General features: G+C 51.8%; 1 long non-coding RNA gene across 1 annotated transcript, besides 2 other annotated features; it reads left to right on the plus strand.

Moving 5' to 3' along the window:
• Nucleotides 3,417-3,516: a silencer, noted in NCBI's record as "silent region_2337". NCBI's record gives its function as "represses an Ori minimal core promoter by ATAC-STARR-seq in GM12878 lymphoblastoid cells {active_cell/tissue: GM12878}" and the evidence as "EXISTENCE:reporter gene assay evidence [ECO:0000049][PMID:35858748]".
• LOC124902417 (uncharacterized) lies at nucleotides 3,432-8,448 on the plus strand. Its single transcript, XR_007062133.1, has 2 exons — nucleotides 3,432-5,738; nucleotides 6,336-8,448. It is a non-coding gene; the product is annotated as an uncharacterized LOC124902417 (long non-coding RNA).
• Nucleotides 12,357-12,526: an enhancer, noted in NCBI's record as "experimental_12372 CRE fragment used in MPRA reporter constructs". NCBI's record gives its function as "activates a minimal promoter by MPRAs in K562 erythroleukemia cells, with activity observed for the introgressed 10:44194638 variant allele {active_cell/tissue: K562}" and the evidence as "EXISTENCE:reporter gene assay evidence [ECO:0000049][PMID:34662402]".

A 20,129-nucleotide genomic window follows, 5' to 3' on the forward strand; every position in this document is an offset into this window, starting at 1 on the left:
TACTATAGAAGGCAGAAACACGTTTACACAATTTCAGCCTGCATCTCAGAGGGCATTAAGGGGCCAGAACTTTGATTAAACACAAGTGTAGGCAATTATGAAAAAGCAGCAGTGGGAGAACAAGGGAGTGTTCTTAGAAATAGAAATGGTCCACAGTGGCCCAAATTAAAGCAAAACCCACTAGAGGCGGTGAGTCCCAAAATGGACTCTAAAATCTGAGGCAGGAAAGACTCCACCTGGAGAAATCCTTACGGAGCAGAGCAAGAGTAAAATGTGATGGAAATGGCAGGAAAGAGCGGAGAGAAGGCAGATATAGGATTCCCTCATGCATTTAGTGAGCAAAGATCCACTAGATCCTCCTCAATGGTCTTAGCAAGGGGCATCTAGCAGTGAAGAAAATCAGCTGGGCACGGTGGTGGCACGTGCCTGTCATCCCAGCTACTGGCGAAGCTGAGGTGGGAGGACTGCTTGAACCTGGGAGGTTGAAGCTGCTGCAGGCTATGATCACACCTGTGAAAAGCCACTGCACTTCAGTCTGGGCAACAGAGTGGGGCCCTGTCTCTTAAAAAAAAACCCCTGCTTGCTTGAAGCACATGTTTAGTGAGGGATGAAAGACAATAAGCAAGTCAGGACACATCGAATGAGAGAAAGCGGTCAGGGCTTTGGAAACCTAGAGTGAGGAAGAGGAAAAGAAGGGGTGGGGACGAGGGAGAGAGCTGCAGTCTTAAATAAGGTGGCCAGAAGGAGCCTGCTGTGCAGGGAGCTCTGAGCAGAGAGCTGAAGGCATCAGGGAGCAAGCGGGGAGACGTGGGGGCTGCATTCCAAGCAGGGGGTTGGTGCTGTGGAGACCCGGAGATGGTGGTGGCATTGCGGGGAGGGCTTGAGCTGGGGAGTTTGGGGGGCCACTGTGGGTGGAGAAGGGGAAGTGCTCAGCAGAGGAGGCCCATTTGGGACATCTTAGGACTCTGGGATGGAAAGCCATTGAGGGATTTTCAACAAAGAAGTGACATGACTTTCACTTAATGCTTTAACAAGACCATTCTGGCTGCTGTGTTGTGACTAGATTCCTGGAGGGGTCGGTAAGGGCAGAAGTAGGAAGAAGAGGGAGGACGCGACATGATTCTGGGAGTGACGGTGGTGGCGTGTCCTGGGCTGAGCGTGAGGGAGGTGACGAGAAGTGGCTGCTCTCTGGGTTTTCCTTGTAGGCAAGTCCAGCAGGATTTGCTGACAGTGGGTTTGGATGGAGGAGAAGCAGGGTAGTTGAAGACAAATGAGATTTGGATCTAAGCAACCGAAAGAAAGGCAAAGAAGTTCCCAGCGGACTGCTTTTGTTTGTTTGTTTGTTTTGTTTTTGAGAAGGAGTCTTGCTTTGTCGCCCAGGCTGGAGTGCAGTGGCACAATCTCGGCTCACTGCAACCTCCGCCTACTGGGTTCAAGCGATTCTCCTGCCTCATCCTCCCGAGTAGATGGGATTACAGGCACGCGCCACTAAGCCTAGCTAATTTTTGTATTTTTAGTAGAAATGGGGTTTCACCATGTTGGCGAGGATGGTCTCTATCTCTTGACCTTGTGATCTGCCTGCCTCGGCCTCCCAATGTGCTGGGATTACAGGCGTGAGCCCCCCCCGCACCCAGCCTGCGGACTATTTTTTTATGGGGGGGGGGGGGGAATCAGGAGTTTGCCCTTTGTGTTTTCAATTTAAGATTCGGCATTTGGGAGGAGCTGTCTGGTGGACTACAGGAAAGGCGAGTGTGGAGCTGGTGTGAGAAGCTGGCTGGGAGAGGGCTGTTCCTTGGTGACTCACGGGCGGAAAGGTGGCCTTTAAACAGTGAGGGTGGGTGAAGTCATCGGGGCAGGAGCGTGCCTCCAGAGGGCCAGGGACTGTGCCTGAAGCTGGGCTCTCCTGGGCTACAGGGGCTGCGAGGGAGGCTTGAGGGGCTGGGGAGCGAGGGGCAGGCTGAGACCCTCCTGTGGGAAAGCATTGCAAGCTGGGAATGTTTAGCGGTGGCCAGTACCTCAGAGTGCAGCAGGGCGAGGCGGAAAAGAGACTGACCATGTCTGAGTGGTTTTGGTGGAGTGCTGGGTAAAGGTGAATGTGTCAGGGTGTGAAGGAGAAATAGGAGCTGTGCGGAAACGGGTGCTGGGAAAGGGGGAGGTTGCTGGGGAAAGAGGTGTGGGGTCCTGAGGGGGCCTTTGAAAGGTAACGTGGAGAATTCCTACTGGATTTGGCCTTCACTGGAATACCCTAGAGGAGGGGGAAGTTGGAGGTGAGGGCGTGGCCGGTGGCTGAGTAGATGGCCTGGGGGGGCCTGGCCCAGAGAGCTCTTGGGAAGGTCTTAGGGCAGGACCAGGGGCCGCGGGGGCAGCAGATGGCACACGGGGGCGGGGTGTCGGAGGCGGCCTGTGCAGATCCCCTGACCCCCTGCCTTCTCAGGGCTACAGAAACAAGGCCGTCATACTTAGAGGTGCTGGGCGGCTGAGGAGTGGAGCGGGTGGGAGGTGCGGGGCTGCAGGGGGATTAGCTCCCAGCAGCCGTGGGTCCCCCTGAGGATGCCGGGGTCATAATGCACAAAGCCACCCTCTCCAAACACCTCCAGCTGCCCAGGCGAGGCGGCGCGCAGGCGGAGAGCAGGAGGGACGCGAGGGTGAGGGGCTGAGCCGGGGGCCAGGGCGTCTTCAAGGCAGCGCTTTAAGGAAAGGGCCATGGAGTTCCAGCTGGGGCAGGACAGGAGGAGCCGGGGACGGAGGTGAGATTAGTGGCCTGAAGCTCCCAGTGAGGCCAGGACTATGGGAGAGAGGGTACGGAGGGCATCAGGGTGCGGGGGGTGGTTAGGGGGTGAGGGCGTGCGACACAGCGTCAGAAAGCGGACGGAAGCTGGGGGTGAGCAGGACTCGGGTGCCGTGAGTGTCTTGGTGACCACTGTGAGCCGGCGAGGTCCACTGGGCCAGACCCTGGCCCGAGGTGGCCCCGGAGCTGTGAGCGGGAGGAAGAGGGAAGGGCGGAGTCTGGAGCCCTCACGCCTTCCGCCTTGTGCGCGGTGCAGGCTGCCGAGAGCCCGGCCGGGCAAGCCTTTCCGCCGTGGTCAGTGACTCGTTTGCACAAGGACTTTTTAGGGAAGAGAGAAGCCAGGCCTTCGCTGTGGGCCTAGCCCCTCAAACCGCAAGCTCTCCCCCTTGGGGTCCTCGTCGTGAACGCCCTTCTCGTCTCCCGCCGGGCTCACTCTTTCGCATTTTGCTGCGAAAGTTTACTGGAAATAGGTCCATTCACTGGTCGATTCAGAGGGACACTAGAAACGCGATGCCCATATCTAACACATCCTGGCCTTTTGAAGAGGGATAAAAAATAATACCCACTAGAGCCCCGTGCCTCCGGAGAGTGGGGCTTCGCATTTGCGCGTCCGAGGCCCGGCAGGGAGAGCTTCTGGGTCCTGGGGGCGCGCACATCCGGCGCGCGCTGTGTCGGGGAGCGGCGCTCTGGGCTGGGCCGGCAGAGGGCGCTGCGGGGCGGCCGTGGAACAAGCAGGGGAGAGCGTCAGGGGACCCAGCACAGCCTGCCTGCTGCGCCCTGCTGCCGGCCGCGCCCTCCTCCGTGCTGCGTTCTCCTGCTCGACGCTGCGTCCTCATCCAACACTGGCACCGCGCGCTCCTTCCAGGGTCGGAGGCCCACAGACCCCTCACGTTCGCTTCTGTCAGGAGTAGCGGCAGAATTTCGATAATTTATGTCTTTGATGGAGACTGGGAAGGTAGCCTGGCCGCTGCGCAGGAGAGCTGCGCGGGGTCCAGGAGGGGAGCGCGGAGTGGGAGCAGTCGACTCGGGCTGCGCAGTGCGTGTCGGCTGTCACGGGACACCGGTGAGGACCCTGCACCCAGAGTCGGGGGTCCAGGCTGTTGCTGGAACAGGAGGCAGCTCGGTGTCCACGGTTCCGCAGGGGGCCGCTGTCTGCTTGGATCTTTCATCAGGTCCCAGGCAGAGGGTGCGCTCTCTACTCAGCTTCACTCCTTGGGACAGAAGTGTGGCTGCTGATCCTGGAGTAGGGAAGGAGAAGGAAGCATTTGCATGATTAAAATATTTTTTTTTATCTTGGTAAAATACACATAACATGAAATGTACCATGTTAACCATTTTTAAGTACTATTTTAATGTACTATTCAGTGACATTAAGTTCATCGAACATTGGTGTGCAATCGTCACCACCATCCATTTACAGAAGTCTTTTCATCTTGAAAGTCTGAAACTTTGTATCTATTGAACAACAATTCCACATTTCCCCCTTCCCCCAGGCCCTGGCAACCACCATTCTACTTTGTCTCTAGGAATTGGACTACTCTAGGTATCTCATATAAGTCTAATGAAACAGCATCTGTCCTTTGTGACTGGCTTATTTCAGGTAGCATAATGACCTCAAGGTTCATCCATGTAGTAGCAAGTGTCAGAATGACCCTCCTTTTTAAGGCTGAATAATATTCCATTGCATGTCTATACCACAATTTGCTTATCTGTTCATCCATCGATGGACACTGGGTTTGGTTCTACCTCTTAGCTGTTGTGAACAATGCTACCATGAACACGGGCGTACAAATATCTGTTTGAAATCCTGCTTTCAGTTCTTTTGTATATATGCCTAGAAATGGAGTTGAGTTGCTGGATCAGATGGTAATCCTGTGTTGAATATTTTGAGGAACGCCATACTGTTTTCCATAGTGACAGTTGCATGATTTTTAAAAAGTGGCTTACTTTCAACACATTTTTTAAGGTAATATTTTGGACCAAATGGTTAATAAGACTGTGGTGACGAGGTGCAAGACTCTGGGAAGATGGCCAAAAGGCACTGTTCTTTTTCATTCTTGTTTTCTGTCCCCAGCCCATGCCCCTGCTGGCAGCCCTGGGCTTGCCATCCATCTGGAAGCTAGGAAGGGCTGAGTCACCCAGCATTCTGGGGCTGGGTGCACCCTTTCTATAGTGTCTTAGGAGGATGCAGAAGTAATGGCTACAGAGCAGCTGCTGAAGGAGGAGGAGGGCTCACGAACTGCTAGAATTTTAAAGGGCTGCAGCCCCTGAAGTCCTGGGCCCTGTTTTACAGATAAGGGAACAAAGACTGCTGCAAGGAGAAGCATGTGGAAGAAGACAGCTCTGAGGATGCAGAGCCCCAAAGGACGTGCTTGCCATTCCTGGAGAGGAATGGCATCAGGGACCCAGGCCACATGCAGTGCGGCCAGGGACAGAGCACCACCTGTGCGTGTGGACATTTCACATTTTTCCTCCATGGAAAAATGTAGGAAACCCTACAGCTTGGGTTTCCTCTGTTACTGAGGCTTCCTCTGTTACTGAGGCTAACTGGGACATTTGTCTATTTAGCATTTATCTACTATGTGTTGAAAGAGAGGCGGGTGGGGGAGAAGATTAGGAAGCCTTTAAACAAAGCTCCAAGTAGAGCTGTCTCGACATGATTCAAAACTGCATCCTTAGATGCTTGGTGGTATAAAGGTCTTGCCAATTCCCATTACAACACATATTGCAACATGCCTTTCTTCTCGTAAATGTCTTCTGAAGGTCACTCCAGCCCCTGCCAGTCCCTCTCCCCTTGACTTTCTGCCAGTGCCCAACTGTGAACCCGTAGAGCCATCTGCTCTCCCCTCCTGCTTACCTGCAACTGATGGCTGGCCAAGAAGATAGGAGAGTTATGCGATTGGTCAAGGACTGGTGTGAGGTCTCCTGCTGTGCTGCACATGGGGCTCGGGTGGGTATGCTCTCCTTCCTCAGGGAACGGCCATTCCACTGTTACCATGCTCCTCCATTCCCTCTCCCCACTGCCCCATCTCAGCCCCTGCTGGCATGCACATCTTTCCCTAGGTTAGAAGAAGATTCCTTCAGCTTCCTGGCCCCAAGCCGACAAATGCCCTTCCCTGCTGTTCTCAGGTCTCTGAATCAAAGGCGCTGTCCTCTCATCCAGGGATAATTTCTCCTTCTCCATCTTGACACCTTCACCTTTTTCCTCTTGGGTACTTTGTTCTTTCCTGTATTTAACTTCTTGCTTTCCCGAGTCCTCAATGTTTCCTTCTTTGACTCTTTCCCCCACAGATTATGAACATGCACAAGCTTAAAACACCAACAGCAACAAAAAAGAGAAAACAAAAATGCCCTCACTGCAAAGCCCGAGTGAGGCCTGTCTCATGCCATGGTTGAGCTTCTTTCTGGCAAGAGAAACTGGCCTATGTCGCTCCCCGTCCAGCCCCTCCGTTAGTCTCTGCAATCTGGCTGCGACTTCTCAAACTCCACCAAAACTGCTCTCCTGTAGGCAGGTGACAGTCACGCCTCTCACCCGTTCTCTTTCTAGAATCTGAAGGTGTGACCTTCCCATTCTTCTGTGACAAACCTGGTGCTGCCCAGCAGAGTGGAAAGAGCATGTTTTTTTTTGTGGTAAGTTCCAACGGCAGCTGCACCAGGTAAGAGCTGTGTGATTTTGGACTCATAACTTACCAGCTCTGAGACTTCTTTTTCTCATCTATAAAATGGGGAAGAGAGCAAGTAACTACACAGAAACTTTGGGAAGACTGAAGAGGCCTTGCCGATGAAGCACGTGGCACCCAGAAAGTGCTTTGATCCCCAGCTCACAGTGATAATGCTTGTGGGTCCGCATGTCCCTTGCTCTTACTTGCAATGTCTGTTCTTCATCAGTCTCTGCAACCACATCTTCTCTCTCTGCACCCACCTCTTATGTATTTTTACCCTACAAACTCTGTAGGAAATGTGTGCTCCACATGGCTCTGCTCTCTGCTAATTTAACAGATGCTCTTTCTGAGTAACTCACACTCCAGGGTTTTTTTTTTATTAATTAATTATTATTATCATTATTTTTACCACCAACCCTGCTCCTTGGTCTCCAGATGAACCTGCCTAACTCCTCACTGCCTAGCAGACAGCAGCTTTGGAATGTCCAGCAGACACAGTCAAGACTGAACTCACTTCCTTCCTGCAGCCTGCTCCTCCGGCCTCTTCCAAGTCTCCACTGGTGATACCACCTTCCGCTCCCTCACAGGGGGTCATGGTGAATGCCTCAGCTCCTTAACCCCCGTTATGGAAGGCCTTTGGAATTCACTCTCCTTTAATGGGTCTCATATTCCCCCCTTTCTTTATTTATATTGGTACTTCCTTAGTTTAATTCATCAAGATCTTGGCCTTTGAAGGAGTTATTTCCTTTCTGCACTGCCTTTCTTTTGTCTGCCCAGCAAATCCCACCTGGTCCTCTCCTCCCCTATCCGTGCTCAACGTCCCTTCCTGGGTGAAGCCTTCCTCACCCAACACATAGCACTTGGGTTATGGCCAGTTGAGTCTCCCAGCAGCAGGAGCCTTCATGTCTCCAATGGCCTCTGCTCCTAGCACGCCTGCTGGCACCCACAGGTGTTTATGGAATTGACTCAGTGTCTAGGAAAATATGCATTTATTTCAAAAAATACGTAGTAAAATAAAAATTAGATTCAAGAAAACATCCCTATAAATTTTGGTCTGTGATAGTGCCATACACAGTAATGTTATCAGAACATCTGTCATTGGTCAAGGCTGAGGAGGAAGCTCTGTTTTGATCAGCATCTTGGACCACCAGTGATGAAGACTTTCACTCACTGAAGTCCACATTCTTTCTGCTGGGGGAAAATCCAGGTAGCTACAGGCCTCTGTCTGGCAGGGGTGTGCAACGGTGAGTGGTGAGGCAGCATCCTGACCCAGAGACCAGTTGGTTGCCCTGCACTCTGACAGGGAGGTGGGACCCTGGCCACATGAATCGCCTGCCATGACCCCAGGCCCCCTTCACTGTATCCCCTGCTGTGTGCTTCCTCTCTGCCTGCTCGCCTGTGCCAGCCCCACTTGGCTTGTGCTCCTGAGACCTCTTCTTCTCTCCTTCATGCTTTCAACTTGCAGGAAGCTTCCTGCCCGCTCAGTGGTCACCGTAAGATTGGTTCCCAGAGAGTCAGCCCTTTGGTGGCAAACAGAGGGGCTGGAGGAGGGGAGGGTCTGCTCCCTGCATTCAGGGCTGCCTCTGCCTGGGACCCACGCTCCTGGGGTCCTGGACTTGCCCTTCACCTCTCCTCTCATTCTCGCCCCTGGTGGCCCCTCAGCTGCTCCCTGGGTTTTACCCTTGGTACCTGATATAGTTCGGCTATTTCCCCACCCAAATCTCATCTTGAATTCCGACGTGTTGTAAGAGGGACCTGGTGGGAGGCAATTGAATTACGAGGGCAGGTCTTTCCCATGCTGTTCTCTTGATAGTGAATAAGTCTCATGAGATCTTACAGTATTGTAAGGGGGAATTTCCTTGCCCAATTTCTCCCTCTTTGCCTGCTGCCATCCACGGAAGACGTGACTTGCTCCACCTTGCCTTCTGCCATGATTGTGAGGCTTCCCTTGCCACGTGGAACTGTAAGTCCAATTAAAACTCTTTCTTTTGTAAACTGCCCAGTCTCGGGTATGAGTTTATCAGCAGCGTGAAAACGGACTAATACAGTACCTCTTCCTTATTGATTTTAAACAGTGAGAAAGTACTGGCAGGAGAATTACTGTGAAGAAGTTGTGTAATAAACACCCTGTCCATGGTCTTCTTGAACTCCCTTACTCCCTGAGGGAAATGATTGGATCACAACATGAGGACTTAGTTACGGCCAAACACAAGGGCATCCCCAGGGGCTTGGCAGGGCAGTGAACACGTGTGACAAGCTCCCAGGGGTGCAGGTCCGGGTGGGCGAGGGGGAGGTGGGCAAAGGCTGTGTGGGGAGTAGTAGGCATGGTCCTGCTAGGGCAGGGCACCTGCTTGGCTGCTTCCCAGAGGAGCTGAGCCCCAGTGGGTTTTGGTTTCCTGGAGCCGCATGCAGGCCCCACAGTTGCATGGCATTTTGCCTCCATGGCGTCCTCAGCCTTACTGTGGGCGCCACAGGTCTTTAGCTGAGAACGTGAAGGCACCAGGGGAGAATGCATCCTCTCATTTTGTTTTGTTTTGTTTTCTGCCGGGGGCACTTACCCTGGTGGGATAAGGGCCTGCTCTTTTTCTCTCTCAACTGACTTCTTGTGGGACAAGGGGCCCTTTTTTTCCCGGTTTCTGCTCCGGCAGTCGCTTCTGTCCCTCGGCAGGGCCGTGCTGCCCTTGCTTTTGCTCTGCTGGCAGGAGCCCCTTGCGCAGCAGGTCTGCTTGGGAGCCCCCCGCCGCCATCCATGCCAAGCCCTGACCTGGGTGATGGTGCCTGCTCGGGCCATCCCCTTTCCTCATGGCCGGCAGAGCTCTCCGCCACATCCACACTGTGGGTGCCCCTCGCCAGCTCCAGGCCCCGACCTTCCCTGTTAAAGAGCTCAGACTCCAGCGGAACCCGGCTGCCACCTTCTGGGCACCCACCAGGCTCCCGTTCCCACTCCTGCCTTTAAGAACCTTCTGTACTCCGTCCCTCACATGTAACCCTCCCATCTTCCATCCTCCCCAGAACTTGCTTCCTTTGCAAGACGGCCCTGGAGTGTGCCTGTGTGAGTGTGAAGGTGAGTGCCTGTGTGTGTGCACCTGTGTGTGAATGTGTGTGTGAATGTGTGACTGCACGTGTGTGAGTCCATGTGTATTTGAGTATGTGTATGTGAGTCCCTGTGTGTGAGTGCATGTGTGTGACTGTGTATGTGTATGAGTGTGAGTGAATGTGTGTATGAGTGTGAATATGTGTTTATGTTTGAATGTGTGTATGACTGAGTGCGTGTATGCAAGTGTGTATGACTGAGTGCGTGTATGCAAGTGTGTGTATGTGTGACTGAATGAATGTGCGAGTGTGCCAGTGAGTGTGGGAGTGAATGTGTATTTGAGCGCATGTGTGAGTACGTGTGAGCGTGAATGTATTTGTGAGTGCATGTGTGTGTGTCAATGTGTGTGTATTTGTGAGTGCATGTGTGAGTGAATGTGTATTTGTATGTGAGAAGGTGAGTGAATGTGTATATGTGTGTATGTGAGTGAATGTGTGTATTTGTGAGTGCATGTGTGAGAGAATGTATGTGTATTTGATTGTGAAAGCATGTGTGTGTATTTGTATGTGAGTGCATGTGTGTGAATGTGTGTGTATTTGCATATGAGTGCATGTGTGGGTGTATTTGTGAGTGCATGTGTGTGAATGTATTTGCATGTGAGTGCATGTGTGTGTATTTGTATGTGAGTGCACATGTGAGTGTGTGAATGTGTATGTATTTGCATGTGAGTGCATGTGTGAGTGTGTGTGTGAGTGAATGTGTGTGCACATTGCAGGACATTTGGGAAGTAGACGTAGGGATAAAATGCAGGAGTTACTGAATGCCATGGTCTTGATTATTGGAATTGTTTATGGAATGGACTCAGAAGCAGGTGGCTATGGGAAGGGTGCTGGTGTGAGCACGTGGATTTTTATTGCTGCATAACAAATTACCACACAACGGGGAACCAACAGCTACTTATTGTCTTGCAGTTTCTTTAGGACAGAAGTTCAGGCCCGACGTGGCTAGCCTCTCCACGTAGGGTCTCAGGAAGCTGAAATCAAGGCGTTGCCTGGGCTGTTTCTTTAGACTCACGTGACTGTTGGCAGGATTCAGTTCCTTGAATTGTAGGATAGGGACGCCCATTCTCATGCTGGGTGTCACCTGGGGGTGGTTGTTAGCTCCTAGTGGTCACCCCTAGCTCCTTGTTAGTGGTCACCCCTAGCTCCTTGTGTCGGGGCTGCTGGCACGGCCCTTTCTCACTTCCAGTCTCTCCCTCCAGAAGGGCCCTTGTAAGGGCTCACCTGATCACGTCAGGCTCACAACTGCGAGAATCTCCTTTTTGGTTAACTGAAAGTCAACTGACAAGAGACCTCAATTACCTCTGCAGAATCCCTGTTGCTGTAGAGGGAGCGGTCACTGGGGGAGAATAGCCCATACCTCACAGCCCTGGGGAGGGGATTCTATAGCAGGGACGGGGACCTTGGGGGCCATCCACTGCCCACCACTGCACGTGTGTGTGTGTGCTCATGTGTGTACATGTGTGCATGCATTGATTCTCTAGGCTCACTCTTGAAGTTTTGAGGAAATCTATTCTGCCTCATGAAGGTATTCTCCATAAGTGGGAAGGATCTCACACAATTTTCTACAATCAGCAAATATTTCCCAGAGGAAACAAATACCATTTACCCTTGTGCTTTCCGTGTATAATATAGAGGAGGCTTCCTGAAAGTTTACTGATAGCTGAGTTGAGAAAAAGAAACTATTGAATTAATAATATGGCATTAAGCGGAGAGAATATTTTGTTGTGATTTATTTGACATTTAAGCATCTAGGAATAAAGATGTACAGAAACCTTCGTGCTCATTCTGCATTATGGGGTGCACACAGTCCACAATTTTATTCTTCCATTGTTATTTAGTTTAAAAAAGTATCTTTTAGAATGTATTAGGTATCCAAAAAACCGAGAAATGTTTTTGCATAAACCAATACACCACTAGGCCATGTGGGCTCTGCCTCGCCTGCCGGTGTCCCCTCAGATGTGCAGCCCTGGCCATCTCTGCAGGCTCTGTGGCCCAAGGGTGACCCTGCTGCTGGGGCCACGTCTCGCAGGCATGACCAGGCCGACCTCTGAAGGGACTGAATGTCACTTAGCATGACAGCCACATTGTATCCTGTCTCATGACTCTCAGGAAATGGCCCAGCTCGCTTATCTGCTGTTTTGCCTTCAGCACGTAAGTTTCCCTGTCAAAGTAATTTCTCCAGTGCCTGAAAAACCACGATGTCACCCTCAGTGCACATAGCTGCCATTATCTGAGAGGTTTTAATGTCCATGTAAGATGTGATAATAAGATTTGAGTTTAATAGAGTTGGCCTTCTAGACTTGACCTTATCTGTATTAATCAACACTTGACTCACACTAGCTGCCCTCAAGGACTGCACCAAAGTCACGGCCTCTTCTCGCCCTCCTCCTGCCCATGTCTTGGCTCCTCTCTGTCCTGACTTAGCCTTGCTTAAAGTGGCCACAGGTGCCCCAGGCTCCTCTTCTTGCTGAGAAGAGAGTAGGGATGTGGGCAGAGAAGGACAGCAATTGCACGCGATAATGCCTACATCCTACAAAATGTATTTCATTTCTCAAAGTTACGCTGTTCAATGATTTAAATGAAAAGTTTTGCAAAATTATTGACTTTAAAACAAGGGGATAGTGGAGGTTGCCAAATATCATCTCATTCTCAGCCTGGGCAGGGTTGGGCCACCACAGACTTCCTCTGGATGCTTTCCAGGGAAAGGACCCAGGGGGACTCTGGGATGGTCTCTGCATCGCTTGACGCCAAGCATTCTTCAGAACTGGGTGTGGAGGGAGAGGGGGCCACAAAGCCTCATCATCTGCGGGGCTCAAGAGGTCTGGGGGTATCAGCGTTTCACCATTTCATGCCAGAGGATTACGTAAAAGATGCGCTCTGCCCAGGAGGGTCTCTGTGGGACTCTGACTCCCTCTTCCCCCAGGCCACTTTCAGAAACCTGCAGGGGCCCAGCATCTGACATTGACACTTAAGCAATGGGAGTGCACTGCGTATTTTCTTCCTAATGTCTGTGCATATGTTGTGTCTGTGTGTGCAAACGTGTATTTTGCATGTGTGCCATGTCAAGATTGTACCCAAGTCTCTGCGTGTGTGTTTGTGGTTCTGCGTTTGTGTGTGTCTCTTTGGAGCCCGTGTGTATAAGAGTAAAGTTGTGAGCTGAATTCATGTATGTGTTTAGACTGTGTTTGTGGGTGTCTCTGAAGAGATGGAGGGATGACATTCCTTTACTAATTGTGTCCTTAATGTGCTTAATTTGTGAAGCTGCCAGCTGCCTGCCTTCCCACTCCCCCCACCCAGCAGAAGGCAATTTGGTCCAGCTATCTTGCTGGAATGCACTCTGCTCTTCTGGAGCATGCCTTATTATTTTTAAAGCCTTTGGAAGGCCTTGTGAGAGAGGTGCCAGGAGTTCATTGCAGATTAATATTAATAACAGAATTCTAGAGGAAATGGAGTGCTATGTTTTATTGGCAAACTGTCTTCTCCATCTTTAAAGTAAACAAGACTCCATTTTCTACATTACTTAGTATATCATCCTTCCACCCCTTTTAATCATCCTCCAGATGGACTCACGGGGTCCAATTGAACAGGCGTGGAGCCCTCTCTATGTATAGATGTACATAGGGGAGGGAGAGGGGGCACCTAGGGGAGGATCAGGATCCACTGAGATTCAGGCCCTCTGTGGGCCACCAGGGCCAGCACCCTGCTCCAAACTACGGCTTGCCATTTAAACTCAAGTCAACTTGATCCAGATAAACACTTGGAGAATCCGCTTGGTTTGCATGCTAGCTAAGCCTGTGTGTGAGTGTGTGTGTTTGTGTGTACATGAATGAAAGCAGAGACTCTCACTACCAATGGAGAACATTGATGTAATTTGCCCAAACCTGAGCTCTTTTGGCTGCGATGAGGCCCCTACCAGGTCGGTGAGTCCCTGCTGCTGTCTGCATCTCTGCCTGCTGAAGCCCCCTCAACACTAGTTTCCTGAAGTCTACATACAGCAGGCCCCTGCAGTTCTGTGTCCTTCTATGGAGGGTGGGATGCCTGCCCCCTCTCTCCTGCCCCTTCTCCTTACACCCAGCTCAGCTCAGCCACCTTTGTGTCCCGGCAGGAACGTTCCTCCCTCCCTCAGAGCCCCCAAGACACTCAAGTTTTACCCTTCATGGGCCTCAGAACAAGTTGTCTCTGAATAAGTAGAGAGGAATTTTGAGTAACACATTGTTCTGCCTAACTACATCTATAAAGCTCACAGCCACGTGGGAGGGGTTTGCTTCACAAGATTTTGGTCCACTGTGCTACTCTTAGGAGAAGGAGCTCATCATCAAGTCTTCCACTAAACTGTCCCCTCAAGATTTCCAGGACTCCGGGGAGCCACAGTGAGTACAACTTCAATACTCTTAACTTCTCCAAAGCCTCTATTTCCATTCTCCTCCTTCATGTCTTTTCTCTCATTATCATGAAAACGCTCAGGCATGTTCCTTGAACTGTGACAAATTAGTGGGGGGCAAACCACACAGTCGCAGAGCCACATATCACCCGCACTTTCAGTCGTCCTCCAAACTACTGAATGTCCTAGTGTTGGGAAGGGTGTGAGGCGCTGAGGGGCACAGAGAGGAGGAGACCCCCACTACCCCCAAGGGGCTCGGGTCTCAAAGGGAGGCTCGGTGAGTGTGTGAATACCTACGAGGGGGAGTGTGGAGCTTTGGAGGACAGTCCTGGCTGAGACTCAGGCTCCCTGGAGATGACAGAACTGAAGCAGCCCTTGAAGGCTGGGTGGGATTTTGACAGAAGCCCATGGAAAGAGAAGGGCAGCCCACGGTGGTGAACAGAAGCACAGGGCAGAATGTGTGCCCCAGTGGGTCCCGGCCAGGGGCTGGGACTGAAGGGGCCCATAGGAGAGGAGGGGAAAATGGGCAGGACCAGATGCAGGGGGGCCGGAGGAGAAGAAGCCAATATTTGGAGGTTGTCATTAAAATACCTGGAGCAGGCAGGGATGCAGGCTGACCTTTGTGTTAGTGGAATAGAGAAAGAACCATGGTATAGAGTACCTTGGGGGTACAGAGGCTGGAAGGCAGCAAGGAGGGCAGGGCTTGGGAGCACACACCCCCACACTCAGCTCCACCTTTACCTGCACTATCCCTGAACCCCTTGATGCGCAGTGGCTCCGCATCAGCTCCACAGGAGTGGGGCGCCTGCCCTCCACAGCTGAGGCCCTGCCGTCCAGCCCTTGTTCTTCCTGGGCAGCCTGGTTTGCATGCTGGACTTGCCTCTTGCATCGGTTCAGGTGGTGTCTGTGCCTTCAAAGGCTTTTGACAACCCCTCCTCCTTTGTGACCTGTTACAGCCCAACCCCTGCCCTAGATCCATCCCAGCCTGCATTCCTGGGATTACGCCCCAGCGTATGCTCATCTTGGCCACTCACCTAACGTTAACTTAAATATTGTTAGAGATGTTAACATGAGGGACATTATCTAATGCTTTTTGTCTCTACTAATAAACATTTTTTTCTGTATTCTATTTATAATTCTTGCTTCTCCCCCATCCCCCACCCCCCCCCCCCCAATAAACTCCACAACAAAAATTGTTTTGATAGGTGCGACAGTTCCACAATTTTTTGTTTTTTTCGAGATGGACTCTCACTCTGTCGCCCAGGCTGGAGTGCAGTGGCACGATCTCAGCTCACTGTAATCTCCGCTTCCAGGGTTCAAGCGATTCTCCTGCCTCTCCCAAGTAGCTGGGATTACAGGTATGCGCCACCGTGCCTGGCAAATTTTTGTATTTTTTAGTGGAGACAGGGTTTCACCATGTTGGGCAGGCTGGTCTTGAACTCCTGACCTCAGGTAATCCACCTGCCTCGGCCTCCCAAAGTGCTGGGATTACAGGCGTGAGCCACCGTGCCTGGCCCACGTTTTACAAAAGCAAGATAAGAGGTGTTTTCTTTCTGTCCCTACCGGTGCCCTCTGTCTGGGGCTTCTTCAACAGGGTGCATGGCAGGCGGTGTTAGTGTTGAACTCATGGAGACGCCTGTGGCCAGCCCGCGGGGGCAGTTCAGAGGGGCAGGAGGCACTACACAGGTGGCTGGGTACAGGTGCATTCCCCGAGCTGCCCCCCCACGCTGCCACCGGCGCTGCCACCTGCCCATATCCCCGCCTTCCGCAGAGGCTTCAGCCTCCCCTGTACAGAGGCGGGGCATGGAGCCGGCGGCTTTCAGAACTCCCAGGGTCTCTGCTGCGGTAGACCGGCTATTTAACCTCCCTTTAATGCCTGTGTAATGTGCTGGAGAACAACTAGCTACAGTGGGAAATTCCCCAGGAGAGAATTCTTTCCTGGAAGCCCATGCGGACACCCTCGGCCCTGACTGTGGCAGGACGCAGGCAGGCAGTTTTGAGAGACCCCAGCTCTGATGGACAAGGTGACAGTCGCACCGGGCGTGGCCCAAGGCCAGGATCCTGAGAGCTGGCTGCCTGCGGCCCGTGGCATATTTGCTAGCGCCTTCCAGGCATAGAACGGTGGCAGTTTTTTCTGTCAAGGACTCACTTTCTAGGGAAGAAGGAGGGTGGTGGGCAGCGCGAGGCCAGGAGGCTGGCGTGGGCTTGCCGGTAGGCGCTTCTGAGCTGGGTGGGCTCGCCTTCTCGCCCTTCCTCCTCTTTCCTTCCTTGTTTCCCCTAATGACCCGGGCACTTATTCTAGCCCAGCTCTGGCCTCGCGTCACTACGCTCTGCAATAGGAGGACGGTAGGGTCCTTGGCCATGCTGGCTCGCCTGGTCACGGCGACTCCCACGCACGCCCGGACTCCTGGTGCTGGTGCTCGCTCAGCAGGCGCGGCTGGGGGCGGCTGACCGAGGGGCCTGGGCCCAAGAAGCTCTGCTTTATGAAGACACCGGGCGCAGGGAGGTCCTCCAGTTCCCCCATCCCACTGTGAGTGTCCAGAGGTGGAAGAGAAAGGTGTTTAGGGCAAAATCTCATGCCTAGAACTAGGACCAGCCGTGGCAGCAACAGGCCTCGCAGAAGCAAGGCTTGTTGTCAGTGGGGGTCTGGGATCCCTGCAGGCCAAGGACAGCATGCGAAGGCTGGAGGTTCACAGGTGGAGATGTTGCCCAGGGGCCCTGGAGGCGTGGCCACAGCGTCTGGGTCTCTCCTGTGCCCCGAGGCCCAGGCAGCAGCTGGAGACACTCAGCTCCACCTTTACCTGCACTATCCCTGAACCCCCTGATGCGTGGTGGCTCGCATCAGCTCCACAGGGGTGGGGCTCCTGCTCCGGACAACTGAGGTCCTGCCGTCCAGCCCTGTACTTCCTGGGCAGCCTGGTTTGCACGCGGGACTTGCCTCTTGCCTCGGTTCAGGTGGTGTCTGTGCCTTCAGAGGCTTCTGACGTCCCCCACTCCCTGTGACCTGTTACAGCCCAATCCCTGCCCTAGATCCATCCCAGCCTGGGTCTAGATCAGTTTCCAGTCCCAAATATCTCAGCCAAAACTCACGACTCATTTGTCTATTCTTACTGAGAATCTGTTAGTGCCAGCTTCTGGGCTCCATGTTATGGGGATTCAAGGAGAAGGACACTAGCGGTGACCTGAGGCTATTGTAGCCCTGAGTAATCTCTCTTCCAACTTGTTCTTAAAATACACATCAAAGTACAGAAAACAGCCAAAAAGCAACACAAAAACTGCACAGGAACAGTGTCAACAATTGTTAGCCTTGGGAGGGATTTCCATTATCTTCAAAAATAATGAGACACTCTCGGGCACATTTGAGGACATTTTCATTGTTAGTGGCTCAGTTGGCCAGAGGCATGTAGGTGAGAAGGGGCCTGGTGGCCCAGTGGCCATCACTGAACCTGGCAGAGCCCTGAGAGCACCTTACCCTCCCCTGGGGCAGGGACTGCTGCTCATCTGTCCTGAGCCTGGGCCTTGCCTCTCCTCCTCCCTGCTGGTTTGCAATGTTGGGGAGGTAAGGGGGAGGACATGTCCCACTGAGTCCTGAACCATGTGGTCCCCGAAGGTACAATGCTGCTGGCCGGGCGGAGGGAGGACTGGCATGGCTTTTTCTTCCGTGTAGCCTATTTGGTGGAACAAAATAAGCCCCTTCCTGTATTCACAAGGGCATACATTGACCCTAAGTGGGTCAGAGAACCTGCCTTCCTCAGCCCAGCCAACCACACCCAATGAGTGCCTGTCTCCAAAGCACTGACATCGGGACTGGGGGTGAACCCACTGTGCCTTCCAGCTTTAGCTCTTCAAGGGGTGTTCAGCCAGGGGACCCAGGGTGGCAAGAGGGTGAAAGTGTGCTGTGTGTCTCTGTAACAAGGTTTTTATGGAGCACGGACCAATGGAACCAATGAACATCTTCTGAACCGAATACACTGACTATAGTTGAAAATACAGTGTTTGAAAAAAATATTTTTAGGAAGAAATAAAAAAGAATTTAAAGATCCATATTTCAAATTCTCAGTGAGCAATGGGGATATAAGATTATTAGAGGAGCTCAGATAATGCAGAGGCTGAGGCACAAGCCCAAGTGAAAAGCACCCCAGACAGGAGGAAAAGCTTCAAAGGTGCCCACCTGCAACAGCAGAGCCCAGCGCTCCACAGTGGCCATAAAGGAAAGAACTGAAGCCCTAGAAACACATTCCAGTCAGTAGAGCAAATTCGAATTGCTCTCATAGAATCCACAGGAAAAGGACAAAGGGATGAAAGCAATGAAAAAATACAGCCATCAAGGAGGCTAGTAAAAGGAGAAGCAGTCTTCGAATAACATGGCCTATCATGAGGAAGAACGAGAAATAACTGCAAAGAAGCAATAATGAAGGATAGAACATTTGAAAACTTTCTTGAGCTGGGAGAAAAGAGTGCTTGGTCTAGAGACTGACTTACATAACGATGTATAAGGCAAATTTTCTAAAAAACAAAGCTATATCCATTACTTTATCAGTGATTAAAAATAGGTAATTTAATTGACAAATTAAAAACAGGTATAGAAACATTCAATCTGAGAGCACATGCTGCTCAGAAATGAATAAATTGCTTGTCAGGAGGATGTCAGACCCGTTCCCAGCAGCAAGTTGCAGAAGACAGTAGGGCAATGTCTCCATTTTCAGAGAAATCATTTTCTTATCCCCAATTTGACTTTGTATATTAAGACAGCAAATCCCTTCTTACGTGCAAGGGCTCTGGAATTATGCTAAGCTTTATGGTGTTATAACTGAGAGAATAATCAACCACAGGAACTCAGGAATGGGAAGGTCAGTTCACAAAAGTCTACCTTGTTGTCAGTTTGGGTGAAAGAGCCAGAAAGCAGCATGAAGACTGAAGATACATAATGAACAAAAACTGTAGCTTGGTAACCATGACATGGCTCTTTAATTTCTGATGAGTGAGAAATGTCTCTAAGCCAGGCAAGGTTCAGAAGCCAAGGATGAAGACAAAGAGAGCTCCTGGTTTTCTAGAGTTGCACTTCCTAAATAGTATGCTAGAGAACAATGATTTTTTATTTTTTATTTTTAGACAGAGTCTCACTCTGTCGTTTAGGCTAGAGTGCAGTGGTGTGATCTCGGCTCCCTGCAACCTCTGCCTCCCGGGTTCAAATGAGTCTCCTGCCTCAGTCTCCCAAGTAGCTGGGATTACAAGCATGTGCTACTATGCCTGGCTAATTTTCGTATTTTTAGTAGAGATGGGGGTTTCACCATGTTGGCCAAGCTGGTCTCAGACTCCTGGCCTCAAGTGATCCACCCTCCTCGGCCTCCCAAATTGCTGGGATTACAGGCATGAGCCACCGCGCCTGGCTGAAAACAAAGAAATCAGTGAGATGATTTCAGACAACAGTAAAGTTACAAAAAAAAAATAGCACAAGGTGCTGATAGGGAGGATGGAGAGAGCGGAGGCTGCTCACAGTGGTCAGGGGATGCCCAGGAGGTGACAGCAGTCGCAGTGTGAGGCTGCCACTCACCCTCAGGGAGGGGTTTCCAGGCAGCAGGGGTGAGGGCAAAGGCCCTGATTGAAAGGAAGCTGATGTGGGGCCAGAAGGCATATATGTGGGCAGAGAGGCAGGCAAAGGCTGACCAGAGAGCCCTGGCCACCATGGTGGGCACATGGATTTTGTCCTTAGGGCCACAGGACACCGTTGAAGGGTACGAGTGGAAAAGTGACCCTCTGAGGCTGCGTGTGGGGCAGGCTGTAAGGGCTGGCACGTGCCGGGGCCCAGGGCAGGGGGCTGTGGGCTGATGTGGGCTGTGCTCATGGCCTGAGGGAGGAATTCAGGAAGATTCTGAGCCTTTTGGCCTGAACAACATGTTCTGAGATTGGCGAGTGGGAGATAAAGAGGTTTGGGAGGAGTGAGGGGAATTAGCTGTGGGATTTGAGGAGGGCCCAGGCCTGAGCCCTGTGTTGATCCAGTATTCAGAGAAGGGAGAGGAGTGGGGCCCAGCGAAGTAGGCGGGGAAGGGGCCAGCAGTTTGTAAGGAGAGATGGGGATGACATAGAATATATATATATATATATGTATTTTTTTTTTCTTTGAAATGAGACCTATCGCCCAGGCTGGAGTGCAGTGGCGTGATCTTGGCTCACTGCAGCCTCCACCTCCCGGATTCAAACG

This window comes from Homo sapiens, chromosome 10 (genome assembly GCF_000001405.40).
Source record: "Homo sapiens chromosome 10, GRCh38.p14 Primary Assembly".
In the NCBI taxonomy this organism is placed as follows: domain Eukaryota; kingdom Metazoa; phylum Chordata; class Mammalia; order Primates; family Hominidae; genus Homo; species Homo sapiens.